This window comes from Homo sapiens, chromosome 2 (genome assembly GCF_000001405.40).
Source record: "Homo sapiens chromosome 2, GRCh38.p14 Primary Assembly".
NCBI lineage: Eukaryota > Metazoa > Chordata > Mammalia > Primates > Hominidae > Homo > Homo sapiens.
The window spans coordinates 178,879,273-178,901,529 of record NC_000002.12 but is presented as its reverse complement, the minus strand read 5'-3'; the positions used below and the strand labels follow the sequence as shown (position 1 = coordinate 178,901,529).

The window sequence follows — 22,257 nt, the reverse complement described above, 5'->3', positions numbered from 1 at the left end:
TGCATCTATTGAGATTATCATGTGCTTTTTGTCTTTGGCTCTGTTTATATGCTGGATTACATTTATTGATTTGCGTATATTGAACCAGCCTTGCATCCCAGGGATGAAGCCCACTTGATCATGGTGGATAAGCTTTTTGATGTGCTGCTGGATTCGGTTTGCCAGTATTTTATTGAGGATTTTTGCATCAATATTCATCAAGGATATTCGCCTAAAATTCTCTTTTTTGGTTGTGTCTCTGCCTTGCTTTGGTATCAGGATGATGCTGGCCTCATAAAATGAGTTAGGGAGGATTCCCTCTTTTTCTATTGATTGGAATAGTTTCAGAAGGAATTGTACCAGCTCCTCCTTGTACCTCTGGCCACGCATGGGGAGATCACCATGTAGCTGAAGAACTCTGCCCAAATCTCTGGAGTTCTGTTTATGGGTTACTCCTTCCTATCTGGTACCCTGCCCACAAATTCGAGATGCCTTGACCCAAAGCCTGGTTCCTGTCTTCTCAACTCAGCAAGAAATCCAGGCTCTGCTTAGTTCCACCTCTCTGAGCTTTGATCTAAAAATTACCTTCCAGGCAATGAACTAATGCAATCATAAGGCTCATCTCATGTATTTTCCTTCTCTAACAGATCACTGCCCTGTGCTACTAATTGTTCAGTGTCTGAAAACCCTTGCTCATGTACTTGTTTTTCTAGTTGGTTAAGGCATGAGGGTAAATCCAGTCCCGGCCTCTTGACCAGAAACTGAAGTTCCCTATTTAGTTTTGATGCTGAACTCCTGGAGTTAGAAAAGTAGTAACAGCTTTTTACTGCTGAATTTTATCCTGTTTGTTCTAATCAGTAATTCTTTGTTTTCAAAACTTAAATATAAGAGGAAAGCTGCTTTTATTTTTTATACATTCTGTGTTTGAGGTTCTATTGACTATTTTTAGCCATCCATTTTGTAATGGCTGATACGTTTATTTGCTTCTTTATGTGCCAAGAGTGGTGCTGTCTCATTCAACTACAAAAAACAAACAAACAAACAAACAAAAAACTCTATGAAATGGACATCTTCATTTCATAAACAGGAAACTGAGATTCAGAGAAGTTAAGTTTAAATGTCATGGCATTGTTTTTGACACTCTACATGTATGAAATTAAACTCCCTTGACACTAGTCTTAGTTTCCTTATCCATACCAGTTTTCTTTTCCCCTCTTTTGCTCTTTTTGTCTTAATTTTTACATAATTATTGTTTTTCAAAGAGACATCTACAATCCTGTTTTTCATGATGCAGACTGGTTTCAACAGAAGAAGAAATAATTAGGTACCATTTCAAAAGCTTGAATTAATGCTTAGGTAAGTGGGTTTAAGAAAATCATTAGCAATATGGTTTCTGTCAACATTGTAGTTCCAAGGTATTTGGTTTCCTCGAGATATTATAATATTTTATAAATCAATACTATTTTCATTTTGCAGGAGGAGCTGAAGATAAAATAAAATTGTTTCTTGGCAAAGGACATTTTTGGATTCAGAAGGTAGATCTAGAATAAAAACCCATTAAAAATTGAACTGAAATGCATTAGACTGTCAGTTGCAAACTAGAGCCATACATTGCTACTGACCTCAATCCCATGCATTCTGTTTGGGATTTGCTTCCTTTCCTCATCTAATAATTTATGTGCTCAATGAACTGAGTCATCATCACAGGAAAGAAATAGAATGTAAGGATAATATTTCAAGTGCAGCCACTGCTGGAGTGAAGATGGAGTTTAGAATGCTGGCAATGGAAATCAATGTAAATTTCAACAGAGCAAAGCAGATATTGTTGAACATCACAATAGCTTCTGAGACTTCTGAGTGCCAGCCACACTCATGGGACACAGTTTATTAAGGTTCCTATTACCAGACACCAAAAAACTGGTATGGATAAGAAACCCAAGACTTCACGTTAAAGGAATTTTAGTTCATACATTCTGAGTGCCAAAACAATGCCATGACATTTAAACTTAATTTCTCTGAATCTCAGTTTTCTCTTTGTAAAATGAAGATATACATTTTATAGAGTTTTTTTAAATTGAATGAGACAGCACCACCAGTTGAGCACAAACTCACTTATTTATTGAGCCCTCTCTATGTGCACCACCATCAGCACATAGAAAGGGCTCAATAAACAAGTACAGTGATACATTGTTTAACAGTGAGGATACATTCTGAGAAATGAGTCTTAGGTGATTCTGCTGTCATGTGAACATCATAGAGTGCACTTACACACATCTTACACACATACCTACACATACTTAGACATGGTATAGCCTACTACATAGCTAGGCTAGCCTATTGTTTCTAGGCTGCAGACTTGTGCAGCATGTTACTGTATTGAATATTATAGGCAAATGAAACACAATGGTATTCATGTATCTAAACCTGGAAAAAGTACAGTAAAAATAGAGCATTATAATCTTGTCGGACCGCCATTGTTGATTGAAATGTTATACAGTGTATAACTGTACTTTTTTACTTTCTATATAAAGAGCTTAAAAAAATACTGAGGGTAATATGGTTGTTTCAAATGATTACAGCACAGTCAGTTGTATCAAATTCTATTCATTTTCACTAACTGGAAAGGTAATATTTGAAATAGGGAAGATAAACACTTATCTTAATGTATTAAAAGGCTTAATTTAGTATTGAGGCAGGTAGGAATTTCAGAGGCCCTTTGATCTGATTTTTTTTCTGTTAGTCAAAAAATAGGACCTCAGAAGTTTACATTTATCTGAGATGAAGCCTCCTTAGTAAATCTGAGACCCTTTCATTATTGTTCGGTAATCACTACTTTATTAGGAACAGACTTACACTGTTTTACTATCATGGAATCAAATACATTTGAAGTTTGAGAAGCTTCAGAAAGCAAATTGTGGTTATTTACATGTTTTCTTGCCTTTTCTATTTCCTGCATCTAATCTGATGGTAATTCCAAGTCATTATTAAATAGTTGTTATCCTTTTGGAGTACAATATCTGTCACATAACCACTTTAATTTTAAAGGCATTTTAGTGCATTCTTTATGATGCTTACAAGTGTATGTAATAACAGTTGTCTTAGTCCATTTTCTGTTGCTGTAGAAGAATAACTGAGACTGGTAATATATAAAAGAAAGAAGTTTAGCTAGCTTATGATTCTGGAGGCTGGAGGGCCAAGATTGGGTGGCCACATCTGGTCAGCCTCTGGTAAGAACCTCATGCTGCCTCATAACGTGATGGAAAACTGGAAGGAAACCAGGTATGTGTGAAAAAAGGGAAAAACACAAGAGGCAGCCTTGTTTTATAACAACCTGCTGTAGTGGGAACTAATCTATTCCTGAGAGAACTAACCCAGTCTTATGAAACATACATTAATCCATCTTAATGACCATGTTATTTACCTCTTGAAGACACCACCTCCCAACACCACCTCATTGAGAACCAAGCCTCAATATGAGTTTTGGTGAGCACAAACCATACTTAAATCATAGAAATGGCCAAACTTAGACTTATAGTGAGGTTGAAAGCCCCTGGCTTCCAGCCTTCCTCATCTCTCCCTAAGCATCATCCTTGAGAACCAAGTCTAAAGAAAAACCAAAGATGGCCTGCTACCAAGCATAATTTTGCATTTATTAAGACACAGGAATCTGTGGTGATTGGAAATGCTGGGTCCAGGACCTTGTGTGAGGGTAAAGTTTTCTATAATGGGACAAAAATGAGGACCTCATTTTTTTCTCTCAGTTCAGTTACCAATTCAGAGCTCAAAAACATACAAAAACCCAGCAAAACCAGGCTACCTTGTGAAGTATTGATTTGCCTTTCCTGTTTGCTAAAATTAACTGATATAATTGACAAATAAACTTGCTTCAGAGTTAACTCAATTTCTATACCTGCCTAAAGGACTGTATAAGGTTTCATTCTACCTCATCATGGCGGATTTAAGCTTATATGCCTCATCCTAACTGAATATTTTGCTTTGGTGTAACTTTAATTAAGCATTATCTGTTTTGATCCAACACTTACTGCCTTCTTAATGTAGATCTTCATATTTTCATATTTTACAGAGACATAAAACAGGAGTTAATTGGATTTTGCTTTCTTTTCCCACAGTTTTCATTTGTGTTGGCTACTGCTACTTCCTTTGGTTGATATTGTGCATGGTTTTGAACTTTTTGGAACAGGACATGATCACTTTCTTCATTTGTTTATTCAGAAATATTTATTGAGTGTCTTTTGTAAATCAGTTGTTTCCAAGCATCGAATGTGACAGGTGAAGTGTCCATGTTTGTGGTGCTTATGCTATTCTGGTGGTAAGAAATAGCCAACAGATAAATCAAATACATAAGATGCTCTTACTCAGCAATGAGTACTATGAAAAAATATAAAAGGGAAATGAGATAGAGTGACTGAGCAGGAGATCATTTTAGACATTGTAGTCAGAGAAAGACTCTCTAAGAACAAAGGGGGCTACCCTGCAAGCAGCTAGGAGATGAGTGGAACAGGCAGAGCAATAATAGTAAGGGTGCCACAGAGAGAAGGGTGGTGTGGCTGGAGGAGGGGGTGGCAGGGGGAGAAGGGTGTCAGACAAGACTACAAAGTGAGGGGGGAGGTACACTATGCTCAAAGACTCATTGGCAATAATGGCAAACACTTCTGTGCTCTAGACATAAATTAATTTAATCCTCAAAACCACCCTGTGAAATGGGTACTACTATTATCATTGTCCCTGTTTTGCAGATGAGGAAACTAGGGCACAAAGAAGTTTAATAACTTGCCCTATTGCCTGTCACACTGCAGTAAGGGTTGGTGTGAGTACTTGAAAGCTGATCTGAACTACTCTGTTAGGTTGCCAGTTTTTGTCTTTCTACTCCTTTCATTCAGCTTTAATCAATAACAAGAAGCCTGTTGGCTAAATGAACATAGATCCTTTTTTAAAAATATATATTTTAGTGCACTTAAAATTTACTCTAGCTTCTAGCTTCAGCTCAAGTCCCAACTTCTCTGCAAAGTTTTTCTTTCTTTCAGTTCATTTAGGAAGTTATCAAATGTACATATGAGCATCTTATATGGCATACCAGCACCAGGCCTCAGGGACAATCAAAGCCATATAAAACTGACCCCAAATCCCCAGAACCTGTCCCGCGTCCAGTCAGGGAGCTGCACATCAAGGAAGTGTGCTCCAGGCACGAGGGGCCCATGAGTACAGTGGATGTTGCGGTCACTTCTTCAGAGAAGGGAGACACAATCCGAAAGTCTGAGATCAAGACAGGCCAAATGAAAGGGTGAAATCTGAGAGGGCTATGAACAGTTGCTGTATTTGGTAGGCTGAGATGGGTGAAGGGTCTACATCTTCGAGCCAAGATGAACTGAATCAATACCTGCCACATAATAGTTTCTTGAATTCCTTTTTGTTTGTCACGTCTATCTCATGGCTCCACTTTTCATTCTGGGCTGGGCTGAATCATTCTTTAGTTATTTCATTTGTGACAGTATCATGTCCTCATTCAGACCATGATATCAACTCAGGGCTGAAACCACCCAAGAAACCTCTTTTTTACCTTATGTTAAGGGGCTGGCATGACATTGAAGGAAAGCCCTTAACACAGTGAAAATATTTACAAAGATCTTAACAAACAAAAACAATCTCCATTCTCCAACAAGACAAACACATTTCCTTTGCCTAGTAGATTTGTCTATGCCTGCATTTTATATGAACTGTACTAAGCATTTAAGAACTTAAAAATAACTGCTTTTAAAAGACTTTGATGATGCATTTAGATGGTAAATGTCAGATAGTGAAATTTAGGAAATTACAAAGTTGAGTTCTTATGACAGTCAACCCAGCCACTTTCCAAATATTTTCATGTCTATATTAAGCTGTTCTTTTTAGAGGCTGGGTAAATGTCATAACTGCAATCCTGGCTTGTTAACACCGTTAAGGATTTTATCATTCTAAAACTCTTAGTGTGGAAAGTACCAAAAGCTCACACTTCCCATTAAATCCAGGATTAACTACACTAGGTTCTCATAAAGTATCTTTATCACGGCAATATGAATGTATTCATTTATAATGCTGATGATGTGAAGTAGCAAAGATCCCAGAGTAAAAAGATCTGGACCTACAGAACCTCCAGAGGAAGGCTGACTAAAGAGGCAGAAATCCCTGCCCTGGGTGATTGAGGACTCCTCTCATATTACAGGGTTTAGGGAGAAGAGGACAAAGAAAAGAGACAGGAAGAGATGTGAGGGGACATATTTATGAATAAGATGCTCATCACAGTGCTATTTATAATAGTGCAAACCCGAAAACCAGCTAAATATTTCCAGAAACTAGGGAAATGTTTGAATAGTTTAAGGGAAAGCACATAATGGAATATTCTAAGTCCATATCAAATAGTTTTTTGAAGAATATTTTAAGACAGAGTATCCTCACAATATAACGGTAAGCAGGTACAAGTGGGACCCAATTTCTCTATAAGGCATAATACTAATGTGGGGTAGAGTAGGTGAGGAGGGCCAGGGGACTACCAAAAAGAAAGTCTTTTTGGAAGGAAATACATTAAAAGATATTTTTATGTTTTCCAAATAATCTCAAATGTGTGCATTTATCTGTTTAGCTCTTGCTGTGCCCTTTTAATCTCAGTATTATGTCGCAAATTATGAGAAAATTTCAGCAAGTATCTTTTTAAATATTACTTTTCTGCTATTACCTTTTTTTTCTCTTCTATACCTTCTATTAGAAGAATGTTGGAGCCTCTTGGTCTCTTTGCAGTCTCTTACCTGTCTTTGGTATTTTTTCACTATTTTAACTCTCTGTGTTGCACTCTCCATGGGTCCTCAGGGTATTTTCTCTTTTTTCCTTTTTCCCTTTGTTTTCATTCATTGATTTCTTATTTTAGAAAATATATTGTTTTCATTTCTGTGATTTCTAATTTTTTTGTGTGTCTAATTTTGTTTTATTTCTGACTTTTTGTTTCAAAGTTTCTTGGTCTTTTATTGTGGGTGTTGGGTTTTTTTAATCTCTCTGATGATCTCAGGCATTTACTTTAAAGTCATTGTCAGATTGCTGTACTTATTTTCTTTACAGCTAGAGTACATTTATCTCTTGGTTGTTGAACATATCTTGGATTTGCTTTTCTTCATGTGTTTTGAGATTTTGGATTGCACTCTCATTTGGAGTGGGAGGGTTTTTTTCTTTGACTTTCTTTTGCTTGCTTGCTTCTCTCTTTGCTCTTTCCTCCTTAGCAGCTTTGCAGTGACCACCTGGACTCATAGGACCTTCAGTCCAGCATCAAAATGTACTTCTGTTATTTGATCAGGGTCACACAAGCGTCTGTGGAGATATTGTGGCTCTTGAAGATGCAGTCAGGAAACCAGAAGAGGGCTTGAGGTGGTTCCTGATGGCTCTGCCATGTTTAATTCCATGGCCCTCATAGCTGTTGGCTGCAGCATTTTCAGCCTCCCCTAATGAGGGCAGAGAATTTCAGCTCTGCTACTGATTTCAGGAAGAATCCTAGCAATGGTACCCTTCACATAGGACATATATGTTGGTCTCTATGGCCTCATAGAAATGGAACTTCTAGCCATCTCTACATGCATCTGAACAAGAACCCAGGTGCCCTGTAGCTTCAGCCACACTTACTGCTTTCTGTTTCTACTTTGTTATCTATACATAAAACATTGTGTGTGTGTGTGTGTGTGTGTGTGCGTGTGTGTGTGTGTGTGTGTGTGAGAGAGAGAGAAATGTTTGGTGGGAGAAATTTTCAAAGTATATAGCTTAAATAAGAATCAAATTTATTGTAGAAACATATGCATTTCACTTCTACAGTATAAATGGCACTTTTTCAAAGTAGGGATGAAAACTAGAGAGCAGCAGTTGTTTCCTCAAAAATAAAGACAACCATAAACATAAAAAGACACTCTTCGGGTTCCCATTAAAAGAAGCAGCAAGCTAAAGATAAGGAAGATTTTTTTCCATCTTTAAAGTATAATTTGTCCATAGACAAAAAGAAAAATATGGTCAGCTGATCCCTCCCAATGAGACAGAGTAAGCTGTCAAGTGCTTACCATCTGGTTCAGCTCCTAATCCAGATGGGCTGACAATAGTAATTTATGAAAGGTTTGAAAGCAACTTGCCATTCTTCAGAAATAATCATTAGAACACATTAACATTGGAATTTGCTTCCCTCCTCCAGCCCCAATTTACAACAAATGCAAAGATAGGGCAACTGCTTCCATACAGTAAATAGAGCAGTCTATTCTTGAACCAGAAGTCAATACGTCTGTGCTCTTTGAGAAAAAAAAAAAAAGCAATTATTTTTCTTCCCCCTCCACTTCCCTCTATTGGCTCAATGAATAAGGGAGAGAATGTTCTCATTTGGAGTTTCTAACAAATGCCTGAAGAAGCTTTCACAGTCTGTGATGCTTGGAAAAGTCAAAGTCAACCTCAGGAATAATCTGATCTACCGCATGTTCACACTACAGACAGGCATCCTCTAATCCATTCTTACAGAGACAGCCCAAAGGTCAATCAATATTTCCAGTGCAAATCACAAAGCCACAGACTGTTAGAGCTAGAAGTCTAAGCCCATTGTTAGCCCCTCTCCCACCCAATCAGGCTGCACATGAGCAGTGTTACTTCCAAATCAGAACAAAATGACAGGCCACCACGTTTTTGGTTCAACCAAGTGTCTGTTACCCACCGTCAGTTCTTGTCTCATCATTAATTTAATAGGACTGTAAAGTAATAGGACTCATTTCTGGGAGACTGATGAGATTCTATCAATTTATTTTCAGTTCATGTAAGAATTGCTGGCAAAGAGTGGGGTCATACCTTTCTTTTGATCAGACCACCTGCCGTTCAGGTGCTGAGGAAATTGTTAATATGCATGCTATGCAGGTTTTAAAATGTTTCAGAACTTTCAAAAGGAAAGTCCGGTATCATCGTATAAAGTTTCTAATGGAAAAGGATGGAATCAGGGCTGAATGTAACCCGCAGATTAGGGTGTCACTAAGAAGGAATAGAAAAAGCCCTAGGACTGGGAATGTGATGGATATATTCTAATTGGGAATGAGAGAAAAGGAACTGGTTACTGCCCAATCAGACAGAGATGACCTAGTTATAAGGGCATAGAGAGAGGGAAATGGGAACTGGCTAGAGTAACCAAGATGAATGAAAACTTCTCTTCCCGAGAAAAGGATCTAAGCCACATGTGAGAGTGGAGTACACACAGGACGGGCAATGGTGCACAGAATGACAAGGCAGTTCAGTCTGTCCCTCTAAGGCTTTAAATAGAAGGAAGTATTGAGCCAAACTACACATGATAAATTTGGTTTAACGTAACTATAAATGCTAAAGCATACCAAAGAAGAAATTGGGCAGTCTTTGGATAGCCTAAAACTTCTACAAGTGGCCAAAAGTGCAAGTCATCATTGTTTAAAACTACTGGACACTGTTACTACGACATTTCAAATATGGTAACTGCGCATATGTTCTTCTCAATCTTTTTGTGTTTTCTTCCCTTAAATAATGACCAGAGACTATTTTATTTGATTTGAAAATGGGCATTGATATTCTACTACTTATAAGGCTATGTGTTCAGGGCTACAAGGGATATAAGAATAAATAGGACACCATTTATTTCCCTCAAAGAATTTACAACACAATAGATACACATAATAAGGCATAAATCACCACAAAATGAGACAGAATCTCCAAGGTTACTGAAAAACAGAGAGAGAGAGAGAGAGAGAGAGATCCTATATGATTGGTTGTAATTCACCTAAATTAAAATTGCAGGTTGCTAAAAAGCAACAGTTTTATGGAAGGAATGCTTGGTTTGGTTTTGTTTACCTATTTTTTGTGCTGGAGGGACCTTCAAGAAACGTAGTAATTTGAGCAAGCTACCATGACCCTCTAGTGGCCACTTTGAAAACTACAGCAGGCATTGCATTACTTAGAAAAGCCAGCCAGTTTCAAAGGAGCCTGTCAGCCAGGCCATCCCTGTTTCTATGACAGCCGAGAACACTCAACTCAAGGCAAAGTGAAATTTTAGAGGAGAAAATACTCCCTACCCCACATCATGTGTCATAGACCCAGAAAAAGCACTATGAGGTGGCAGAGTGTGACCTCTGAGATCAGATGTCAGCCATTTCAGAACTGGGCCAGTTACTGAGACTGTCTCTGTTCCTCAGTCTACTTATCTGCGAAATGGGGATAACAATCCTACTCAGCTCACAGGGTTGTTATGAAGATTAGAAAACAGACTACTTTTTAAGAATGGTGCCTTATCACAGTAAGAGCTCAATAACTGTTTTTATTAGTTGTCGTTATGGAATTTTATGGTACAAACTAAACCAATGTAATCTGTTTTTCCTTAAATTTCCTGAAGGTAACATGTATAACTAATCATGAATTTAATAAAATTATTAAGTATATAAGTCTATTCAGGTAGCAAAGAGACTTGAAATTAAATCAAGTCTTTGCTGCTTATATTAGCTGTGTGTCTCTAGGGCAAGTTATGTCACCTGTGAAGGCTCAGTTTCATTGGCTAAAAATTGAAGTTATTGCTACTTTTCTGACACTTCACAAAGTTATTTTAAGGATTCTATCAAATAATGCATCTAATGCACTTAACAAAGTGGCATGTCTGTTGCGAGAATGTATTAAATAGTAGCTATTATGACTATATGCAAATTTATAAGAAGTGTGCATCTATAATCTATATTTCCCATGACACTGTACAATTGAGTGATGCCATTTTAGAAAGAGAGTTCATTTTGTATTCAAATGGCCAAAGAGGAGGCTGGGCTCAGTGTCAGTGTTGAATTAGAGCAACATAATTAAGACAAAGTAGGGATTCAAGTGGGAAATTTGGGAGCAGGAGGGGATGCTAGAGCAAGTTCAGGTCAGAGTCAGAGAGTGGGTCTGAGTTCTGGTACTTCTGGTACCTGAGACATCATGGCTAGGACTTATAGATAACTGCAAGAAGCTGGCTAACAGTCTTATTCTTTGGAGAAGGCCAGGGAATAAAAAAGAGTAATGTGAACAGGAATCAAGAGGCTTGGCTGGAGCTGGTTACTGAGATCTAGTTTCCCCTAGGGAAACTTTCAAAATTTGGACTCCCCTCCAAGCTACAGCTTCTTGGGGTCAGGGAGGCCTGTATTCTAAGTTTAGTTGGTAAAATAGCCCCTAACTGGAATAGACACTGAGGGCATTTGGGGTGAGACCACACAGGGCAACTCAGAGGTGGGAGTGGGCACCTTTTATCTTGGCTTTTCTTTCTGAATTGTATTAATCATTTCCAAATTCCTTTTATTCAATAATGGCATTTTCTGCCATTTTCAGCTATGTTTCTTCTCTACGTGTTTGCCCATTTCCTTTCACAACCTTTGTTCTCTGTACCTTCTTTCCACAATGCCCTTTATTCAATTTATTTTTCTCATTCCAGGTTTCCATATTCTGCAGAAAACTTGGAGCCTACAGTATATAGGAAAGCTGGGCTTTTAAATGCCTTTTGAGCATATAATATTTCAAAGTCTAAAGCCTAGTCAAAATACAATTCATATTACCAATACACTGCTTTTGTAGAATTATGGAATTTAGTGTTGTTAAGAACTATTTCTTAATGATAAATGTGAAGAATCTCCTGATGTCTTGATTATATTCTTCACTGTCTCTACGTATTAAAATGCAAAATTAAATGTTTAAAATGTAACATCTGTGAAACATTATGTGCCAGGAATAAGATTACTCATAGTGGTTTCATATTTTCCTCCAATTAAACTTACCTGGGACTTCTGTGGTCCACAGGACACACCTCAGTGTTTTCCAGCTCTATAGTGGCATCGTCATCACTCCAGTGAGGTTACTTTACCTCTCGGTCATTTAGGATCTTGCCCTCATTTCATTACTAATTAAATTCATTTTTACAGAGTCATAAATTAATTATTTTGAGGTAAAATGACTGAAACCTGTACCTTGTTCTGAGCTCTTTTTAAACTCTGGGTAATTAAATTTAAGGGTTATCATGTTCATCTTTATTAATACAGTATGTGAAGGAAATGACTGAGGGGAAATGAAAGACATCAACTTCTTAAATAGTCTTAAGGATAGGTTGGAAAATTTAAGTGTTCATTCCATCAACAATATGAGGAAACTTGTTAAGATATCTTTGGACTAGAGCTAGGGTCCATCTCAAAGTTCATGCATTGTTTTAGAGGCATTTTCATTGTAGGAGCTCTCACGTCACTTTTCTTTGTCTCATGAGGCCAACACAGGCGAAAAAATGATAATGTGAGGCATGGCTTCTTTTTTTTTTTATCAACAAGTATATTTGATTTCTAATTGTTGGTGATAACTTGGTTTTCATGTAATGAATACAGCCTTGAGCATTCATAATCATTGAGAACAAGGACCTTAGTGTTATGTAAATATTTTACCCTATTAGATTAGTAAATGCTTTGTTAATTGGCTGATCCACATTTCTATTCAAAGAGCATCTTTAGATAAATGAAGTTTTTAAATAACATCCTAAGGAAAAGTCGTGGTAAACATACTGTGGCTTTGCCATAAGGTTTTCAAAATATCCTACAGAAATATTAAAAAGTAAGCCTTTAGAAAAGAAGATTAGACCTTGTTGCAAAAACCCATAACTCATCTTTTCCCTCAGGACTGACAGACAAAACAAAAGAATATAATTTTTGCTTCCTGCTATGCCGAGATGATAGCTACTTAACTTCTGTTATCCTAAAGCTGATGCCTTTTACCAACGCCTACCTAACATGAGAGCAGATCTGTTTTCAAATATTCTGTGTTCTATATTGGGGTGGAGTGAATTAACAGCTGGCTTGCTCTGTTCAGCTCTCAGGTGTCCGGCATCCATGAGATGATGGGGTGCATTAAGAGACGAGTGGATCATCTGACCGAACAGTGTTCAGCGCACAAGGAATATGCTCTTAAGAAACAACAACTAACAGCCTCAGTGGAGGGTTACCTACGGAAGGTAGTTTCGTAAACTAAAACTTAAATATCTAAGTTGGTGATAATAGATGATATGGTAGGGCAGTATGTGGGCATGGCGGGAGGACAGGGGCATGTCTCCTTAGGCTGCCCTTATGTACCACATTGGGTCCTTTAATTGAACTAAACAGAGTTGTAATTCACTGTTGTTCATCAACCATCCCTGACCCAGGTGGCCTGTCTGCGCCTCTGGCCTGAAGGTATACACACAAAGGCAGTTCCCGCTTTGCACAGTACTGTGTTAACTGAACCAAGTACAGATGGGAATAGAGTGGATCTTTCATTTGCATGGTTCTGAGCATGGTTCAAATATGCACAAGTTTCTGTTACCATGGTACCATACAACACCAGGACTGTAGACAGGTAGATAGATTGATACATAGACAGATCCCAAATATTATGAGTTTTAGGTTTTTCAAGGAATAAATTGCCATTATTATATTTTATTGAACTAGACCAGTGCAAGGCAACACAGTCATTCTGCATATAAACATACATGTGAAAATCCTCTCTGCAGAGTGAACATGATGGCTTGGTATGGAAGAATTTTACTTCCTGTTTCCAAAGGGGAATAAGACTAAGGAGCTACAATTTGACTAAATAAAAAAATTATTTATCTTTAGTAAAAACTAGTAATATCTCAGTGGCATTGATGCTAATGAATCTTGCTGCAGAGGCTTGGTCTCAAATTTTCAATGATGTTTTCGTTTGATACGGTGGACTTATATGCCTGAACTTACATGAATAGAATTAGTAGACTTCACTGGAGAAGGCATTAAATATCAATGTCTGTATTTAAATTGCTTCCTCACCTGTTATTAATCCAGAAACTTGGGGATTTTATCCTTGTTCTGGTGCCTGGGTTTAGGGAGTTTCCAAATATGGTGGCAGCTGTGGTGCTGCATTGCCTGGAGCTTGAGACCCAAGCTAATTTGGTGGCAGTGGAACAGTAGGACCTCAGCTGTTGCTGCTTGTCCTATTGCCAATTTGGAGCCAATTTGAGTCTGGGGAGTATGGACTAGAGTTAGAGCGAGGGGACAAAGCATGTAACTTGAATGGAACAGAACCCTTCAAGGGTCATTTTAGTCAATGACTCATGTCCACTGAGGATCAAATCATAGTCCTCCAAGCTCATCAATTAAATGTCCTAAGTATGTCCCTGTGTTTTACTATAACACGTCCAGGGTTTGGTGCTCCCCCAGAGTCCCTCTTCCCAAAATACTGCAATGCTCATGCTCTGGATCTTGCCTTTAAAACGTGCCTGTAAATTGGGTCCTATTCAACTCACAGATAAATTCATCTCTGTTGATGTGTTAGCAAGTGCATTATCCTTCATAGGTAATATAGATAAGTTCTTAGAGGATGTGGATGATTGCTTATATCTAATAGCTGTTAATAAAAGAAATATCTTTCAACATAAAACATTTGTTGGTAGACCACAAGTATTACCTCCTATGAAGAGCAGCGTTATTAAAACATGAAATTCTGAATATTTAAAACTATATTAGATTAATACTGATAAAATACATTTCAAGTATAATGAGAATCTATAAAATAATATTTATCTTCCTGACACATGTGCGTACATATATGCAAAAATATATTACTAAGACTGCCATATATTATTCACTCCTAAAGGTGGAAATGTCAATTCAGAAAATCAGTCCAGTACTTTCTAATGCAATGGATGTTGGTTCTACCCGTTCTGAATCAGAGAAGATTTTGAATAAATATCTGGAACTAGATATCCAAGCTAAGGTAAATAAAATGAGAATGATTATTATGGCTATAATTTTGTAAAGATAATTTTAAAAATATTTGATAGCTATAAACTTAATCCTAGCTCACTTGAGGTTTACAATTCTAAATTCATATGTAGCACATAATGACTTAAAAACTCATATTCTTATGTGTCTAAATTATATTTATATGTGCATTTATTAGGGCAGTTGTGTTCACTGAAAGTCAGCATTACGGCTGGGTATTAAACACTCATTTGGTTCCCTTTTCTTGCCTGGGCAGTTTCTCAAAAAAAGCCTCATTTTGGGGGTGGCAGAGGAGGCAGGGACAGTGCTTCTCTGACTATTGGCAATTTTTTTTGCAAGAGCAAGTTACCAAAAAATGACCAGAAGCAACGTGCGTTATTGCAAGATTCCAAGGATATAAATAAAAACAACCTTGTTTGCTTACCTAACATTCAGAGACAGAAAGTGCCCCACCCCCACCACAGCACCTTCTCCAGCTCCCTCCTACCCCTTTCACTTGGCACTTGGCTCCAAACCTGCCCTGAAGTTTCTGTCTGCTCCAGCAAAGTTTAAGGAACATGAGTCAAGTGCCCTCCCCTGGTTCTCCCAGGTCAGCAGGAAGAGGCCTGTGACTCCAGTTCTCAGCAGAAGAGCCTCCTTCATGGACTATGTCCCCACCGGAAACTCACAAACACACCCATTTTTTTGTTAAATTGGGTATTTTTTATTTATTATTTAGAATACTTAGAACTTATGTCTGAACTCCATTTCATTTTTTAATTGTAAACATTTTAGAACTGGGGAGGAGATTACAAGGGAAGAAATTCCCCGCTTCCTTCCTTCCCAGAGTGCTATCATGAAGCAGGGCCTCTAAATTAAAGTTACCTTCATTCAATGTAGTACTTGGGAAGCATATTAATCACAAGTAGGGAAGCAATCTCTCATTGCTGCAGAGCTTTTTCTTTCATTTTGCTTGGTTTTTAGGTTGGTCTCAATGAAATTTTACATGGCTCTTTCTATGACATGCATAATCGTCATGCCCACAATTTCTATTCATCCATTTAATCAGTGGTTGGAGTTCACATAACAGAAATTACACTCAGAAGAAAACATAGGAGAACATCCCTGAGCAAGTCAAAGTCACTGATTTTTTAGGTTATTTAGGCCTGATATGTAATATTTTCCCCACTGGCCCTTCTAGATAGAGATTTAAATAAGACTGCACTATTGATAGGTCATCTTTTTGTAAATTAAAAACTAATAAATAAGTTTTATAAATTTGCCATCTCATATAATAAAATTAGTTTAGGAATTTGCTGGAGGTATTGTTAAATTTCAAATAGCTATCTCATGTATAATTATTTCATTTAAATTATTTAAAACATTTCTAACCTTTCATACCAAACAACCTTTCTTTTATTTGTGACACAGAAAATAGAGTGCTCAAAATAAGTATAGCTGATAGAACCAAGAAGAATTTGAAATGATTTTCATTCTAAAGTGCCCTTTTTTTTTTTTTTAGAATTTTGGAAGTTGTGTCTTTCTTTATTGAGGAGATTCTTGGTATAAGTTCAATTAGTGATCATAATTGGTGGATATGCAGAAGATAATGAAACGTGAATGTTCATGATTCCCCTGTCAGTTTCTGACCTCCAGTGCTTTGCTTTTACAGGAGACATCACATGAATTAGAAGCAGCTGCAAAAACCATGATGGAGAAAAATGAATTTGTATCTGATGAAATGGTATCACTTTCCTCTAAAGCTAGATGGCTAGCAGAAGAATTAAACCTATTTGGCCAAAGCATTGACTATAGATCGCAAGTCCTGCAAACTTACGTGGCATTTCTGAAGTCATCAGAGGAGGTATGGTACTATGTGTTAACCTTCTTCAGCAAGGTGGCCACTGCCCATGTCCTTGCTTTCTGTGGGGATATATGCTCTGCCTTGGTGGGTAGGTCCATATCCTCTACCCCTGTGCGTGGGCTCACTTATAGGCCCTGTATTCTTGTAAACCAAAGAGTGATTGCAGCAGTTCTCAATCTATAAAGGTTTATTTAGCCAAGGTCGAGATATGCCTGGGAAAAAATTAAAATCCCAGGAGCACCTGTGACCTGTGCGTTTTCCAAAGGGGGGTTGGGGAACTTCAGTATTTAAAGGAGAAAGGGCAAGCACAAGGAAAACAAAAAGGAGGGAGGATAGGCAGTGAGGCAGCTGGTTACATTCTTGTGAGGCTCTGATTAGCCTCAGCAAATCTACATTTTACATGTGAAAACCTACATTTTTACATGGGGAAAAAGTAAATTATGCATTGTTGCACACCTAGTAAATCTATATTTTACATAAGATAAAGTAAACATGTGAAAATAGGGAGTAGAGGCTATGACATAAAGCTGTAAAATTACAGTTATCTGTTTGGAAACAAAAGCAAAGCAGTTTTTCTGTGTGTGATCCAGTTCCCAAGCTTAACTTTCCCTTGGTCATAGTGAGTTTGGGGTCCCGAGATTCTGGTTTTTTTTTTTTTTTTCTTCACATTATTCAAGGCACCATACAAAGGCTCAAAAAATAAGTTGTTGTATTAAAAATCATACAAATTTGTGCATGTGGATACTGTGGTATATGCACAAATAAACAAACTGGTTATATTGGAATAATTTTTACTACGTCCTACAAATATTTACAATATCCTAAACATACAACAAAATTATTTCAAAACAGTCATCTTCTAAACCATGGATCTTTTTGAATACCTTAGCAGTTAGTGTGGTTCATTTGAAATACACAGAATTGGAAATTACAGGCCTCTGGGTTCAGTCTCGAATCTGCCTTGTGTGATGTGTCTTCATATGTTACCCCTCAGAGCTTCTTCTGAGGCCTTATTTTGTCTGGTTATACTAGATGACCTCTAATATTCCCTCTAGTACACTGGATTCCATCTCAAAGGTCATTGCTTCTTGAAGCTGTCATCAGTAATAGAAAAGCCCTATTTTATTTTCCCAGTTTATTTAACCCCAATCCTAGTAATCCCCATGCAAATGTAGATCACACTCCTCTTCAGGCAGATGGGTGCTGGTTTAGTGGGAGGCAGAGCCAGTAGGGTTCACTCAGGGGTAGAGCCAACCCAAGATAAGTATGTGCTTGATTTTTTCCATCTTCTCACCTTTACCTTCTCAACACCTTCCTTCTTACCTCTCACCACCACTGTCCTGCAGGCACATCTCTCCTCTATCCAATTCCTTTATAATATTCTCAATTCACCACTGCATCCTTTTCTACATTTTTACTCAACCGGTTTGTCCTTTCTGACTTCTTTTTAGCTTTTTCTCTTTATTTTCTTTTTTCTTAATTTTTGATTTTTGTGGATACATAGGTATATATATTTATGAGATGATTTGATGCAGGCATGCAATGTGTAATAATCACATCATGGAGAATGGTGTATTCATCCCCTCAAGCATTTATCCTTTGTGTTCTTTTTAGTTCTTGACCCTAAACTCTTGTGGTTTGGCAAGTTCCAAACTATTCCCAACTGACAGAATTATCTTGTTGATGAATATTATAATGCAGGACATGAAATGGTAGAGAAGCTACAAAGAAGTGCTTGCTTTCTGCATCTTCATTGCCGAAAATGAACCTCCTTAGCTTTCATTTAAGCATCAACTTTGATCCACTCTGGCCTTTGGACCAGGAGGCTTAGCTTTGCAAACAACAATTTAATCAAAACATTTTAGCTTCCTGCTTTCTATTTTCTGCTAAATCTGTTTTCCTACCTGGCAGAGTCTTCCATCCTTCCAATCCTGGCAATGCTCCCCGTACATTACTTCACTCCTCCTCTGGCTTTCCTTTCTTCCTCACCAGCTAATGGTTACTCATTTCCTTTCCATCCTCCATCCCCTCAACTCCCTGCCCTCCACCCTGACTAACCCTGCCAACTCCCAATACGAGATCAATCCAATACTCTGTTTACTCAGCCTTTCCTTCCAAGCTTCCAGACGCTCCAGTGGAAAATCATACAATTGTGCTGATTGGCCCCGTTACAAATGCACGGGCCTCTGCTTCAGCTAGGTCTCCCATATGCTCCCTAGTTGGCTCCCATTTGGTAGCAATTCTCAAGCATCTCACCTTAGTTTCTATCCCTAAATCTCATCCAATGTTCTTAACTCATACGTCCCTGAAAAAAAAAATGAAGCCATTGAGAATAATGGCCTTGACTTCCAAACTTGTTGACATATTCACCTGTCCTCCATGGGTTCCAATAAACTAAAGTCTTTGCTCCTGTTCAGCACAAATCTGTGATTAGTTCTTTCCTGAATATTCCTACGTCCTTCAGCATCTAGCTCCAGCAATCATCTTCTAATTTTTATTTTTTAAAATTTTATTTATTATTACTATTATTTCAGACAGAGTTTCGCTCTTGTTGCCCACGCTGGAGTGCAATGGCGCGATTTTGGCTCACTGCAACCTCTACCTTCCAGGTTCAAGTGATTCTCCTGCCTCAGCCAGGAGTAGCTGGGATTACAAGCACGCACCACCATACCCGGCTAATTTTTGTATTTTTAGTAGAGAGGGGTTTCTCCATGTTGGTCAGACTGGTCTTGAACTCCCAACCTCAGGTGATCCACCCACCTTGGCCTTTCAAAGTGCTAGGATTACAGGTGTGAGTTCCCACACCTGGCCATCCTCTAATTTTTAACAGGTTTCTTTTCCATTGCTTCTTTTCCTTTGTTCTACAGTGATGTCCTTACAGTCTTGCCCTCACCAAGGCTACCACTCCATCATTTTATTTCCCTTCAAATGTAGACTGGTGTGTGTGTGTGTGTGTGTGTGTGTGTGTGTGTGTGTGTGTGTGTGAGAGAGAGAGAGAGAGAGAGAGAGACAGGGTCTCACTCTGTCACCCAGGCTGGAGTGCAGTGGCATGATCACAGCTCACTGCAGCCTCGACTTCCCCAGGCTCAGGTGATCCTCCCACCTCGGCCTCCCAGGTAGCTGGGACTACAGGTACGTGCCACCAAGCCCAGCTAATTTTTTTGTATTTTTTTTTGTAAAAATGGGGTTTCTTCATGATGCCCAGGCTCAAATTTGGACTCTTGAAATGGGAAGAAGATATTCCTCACCTCTACTTGCTCATCCTGTCCTTGTCCCACTGCAATTCGCTTTATTCCTGTTTCAACCCTTCCACTTGCGACCTCTTCACTCCATTAAAAACGTTCTTTTAAGCTACCTACTGGTTGACAAATTAAGTGGCATATTTTCAGTCTTCATCCTCTTAATCTTTCTGCCGTATTTATTTGACCCAGTTACCCACTCTCACCTCCTTTGGGTTTCTTTTTTGAAAGAACAGATTTACTAAGGTAAAATTTACATAGCATAAAACTCACATATTTCATAATGCAATGATTTTTCCTATATTTATAGAATCATGCAACCACCATAGCACTCCAGTTTTAGTATATGTCCATCATCCCCAGAAGAGCACTGGCATACATTTTTAGTCAGTCCTGGCTCCCACCCCCAGCCTCAGGCAAGTACTGACTACTTTCTGTGCCTCTAGGTTTGCCTTTTCTGGATATTTCACATAAGTGGAATAATCCTGTCTACTTCTTTGTCTGTTCCTTCTCCTTTCTCCTAATTCACTTTCCTTTTTTGTTCTTAAAGCGTGGTGGGTCATAGAATTCTTGCCTGTGCCCTCTCTTTTGCACATTGTACCCACTTTTTCTACAAAAACCACATTCCTACCTATGGTTTCTTCACCAATAACTCAAAAGTGGTTCCTCAGCCCCAACTGTCATGAGCTCCAAACCAATGCTTTCCGTTAGCTATGTATCCTGTAGACTCCTCCAACTCAGCAAAACACAGCTGGTGTCTTTTCCTCAAATATGCTTTTCCTTCTGTATTTTGGCATTGGGTTAATGACTCCACCATCCTTTCAGGAATCCTATGTAGAAGCTTCTATGTCTCTTTTAATCACTTTCTCAGTGAGCATTTACTTTGTACTAGGTACTGTGCTTTTCATTCCTGATTTTATTTAATTCTTATAACACCCTATGTTTTAGTTACTATGATCCCCATTTTGTAAATGTGGGAAACTGAGGATCTGAGGGGTGAGGTGTGCAGGATCAAGCACTAGCAAACATCAAAGCTGAAGTTTAATCCCCAATTCTTTCCCTTTTGTTTTTTCTATTTCAAAGGCCATGCTCTCCCATATCTGTTTATTGAGCCAACCTAAAAGATTTCTGAACTCCCCTTTCTCGGCACTTGTACCATCACTTCCTCGGTTCAGGCTGTCATCATCTCTTATCCAGCTTAATGACGTCATCTTCTGCCTGCTCAATTTGCCTCCTATATTTCCCCCTTCACACTCCCCTTCTTTTTGCAGCCAAAACAAAAGACATTCTAAGGCAAATCTGATCACATTACCTCCTGAAATTCAGGTAATTTGACAAGTGTAATAAAGCAATTGCAAATAACTTTTATCACAAATGAATAAAGTCTTAAAGTTTATCATTAATTCACCTAAATCAACTAGTACAGAGTTAAGGGAATTTCTATAATAATATGGTTCTCATTTGCATTCAAGGAGTCTTTTTTGAACAGTTGGAAAAGAAGGATGAATTAAAGTTTATGTTTTGAGAATTGCACATAACTGACTGCCCATAATATTGACACCCAGCCTATAATGGATGATCTTATTGAAGCCCTGATGATTGCCATGCTGATTCCGACTCATCTATCGGTAGTTTCAACCTAATGAGAATGTATCTCAGTTATATTGGTTACAGCAGGAAACAGGTTGAAACCTGCTGGCCAGTTTTATCCCAGCACGAATATCCCTCTGTCTATTACCATTCAGCTTGTGCAACCTGTACTTCACTCACACTAAGATCATGTATTGTCCTCTGAATCAGCGAGTGTCTTCACAGCTAGTGTTTCACACTTTTACACAAGTTATCCCTCCCATCTGGGATCCCCTTTGACGCCTTCTCACTGTGGACAATTTCTCAAGACACAGATCAAACGTCACTTCCTTTGGGAAGCTCTTCCCTATTTACTCCATATAGAGTTGGTGGTCTCTCCTCAGTGTGCCCATAATATTGTCTGTATATGTGTCTTTGTGTTGTAATAATTTGATTATGGCTCTCTTTCTCCTAGAGCTATTTTTGAGTACCCCCCAAAATAGTTAATTATTACTAGGGCATCTTAGAAGGCTCCATGGAGGAAGTAGCATTTTAACTGCTCATGAAGGATAAATAAGAGAAGAAAATTGAGGAAAGATCATTCTGGGCTGAGGGAACAAGCATCAGCAAAACATAGAGGCATGTATAAATGGAATATGGAAATGAGGAGACAGCTTCTGTTTCTGAGAGCTATTTGCAGGCTCTCCTATGAAGTTCAGTTAAATTAAGAAAAATGTGAAAATCTTTAAAATATAGTGACTAACCATTGCCTGAAATTTCTTACCCTGTTTAGATTGCTCTTGGGAGTTACAAGCTATTT

The 22,257-nt window shown here is 38.2% G+C and overlaps 1 protein-coding gene and 1 long non-coding RNA gene across 21 annotated transcripts in view; one reads left to right on the top strand and one right to left on the bottom strand.

Annotated features, from left to right (window-relative positions):
• LOC105373766 (uncharacterized) overlaps positions 1–18,666 on the bottom strand; it is a 39,495-nt gene extending 20,829 nt beyond the window's left edge. The window contains exon 1 of the long non-coding RNA XR_001739140.2: positions 18,534–18,666. This is a non-coding gene — a long non-coding RNA (uncharacterized LOC105373766). The remainder of the gene's footprint in view (positions 1–18,533) is intronic.
• The window catches only part of CCDC141 (coiled-coil domain containing 141), a 235,160-nt gene that overhangs the window by 148,608 nt on the left and 64,295 nt on the right, over positions 1–22,257 (top strand). For all 20 annotated transcript variants that reach the window (XM_047443998.1, XM_047443994.1, XM_047443993.1 and 17 more), the window contains exons 9-11: positions 12,862–13,003; positions 14,659–14,778; positions 16,438–16,629. In XM_047443998.1, coding sequence (XP_047299954.1) covers positions 12,862–13,003; positions 14,659–14,778; positions 16,438–16,629 — 454 coding nt within the window. The remainder of the gene's footprint in view (positions 1–12,861; positions 13,004–14,658; positions 14,779–16,437; positions 16,630–22,257) is intronic.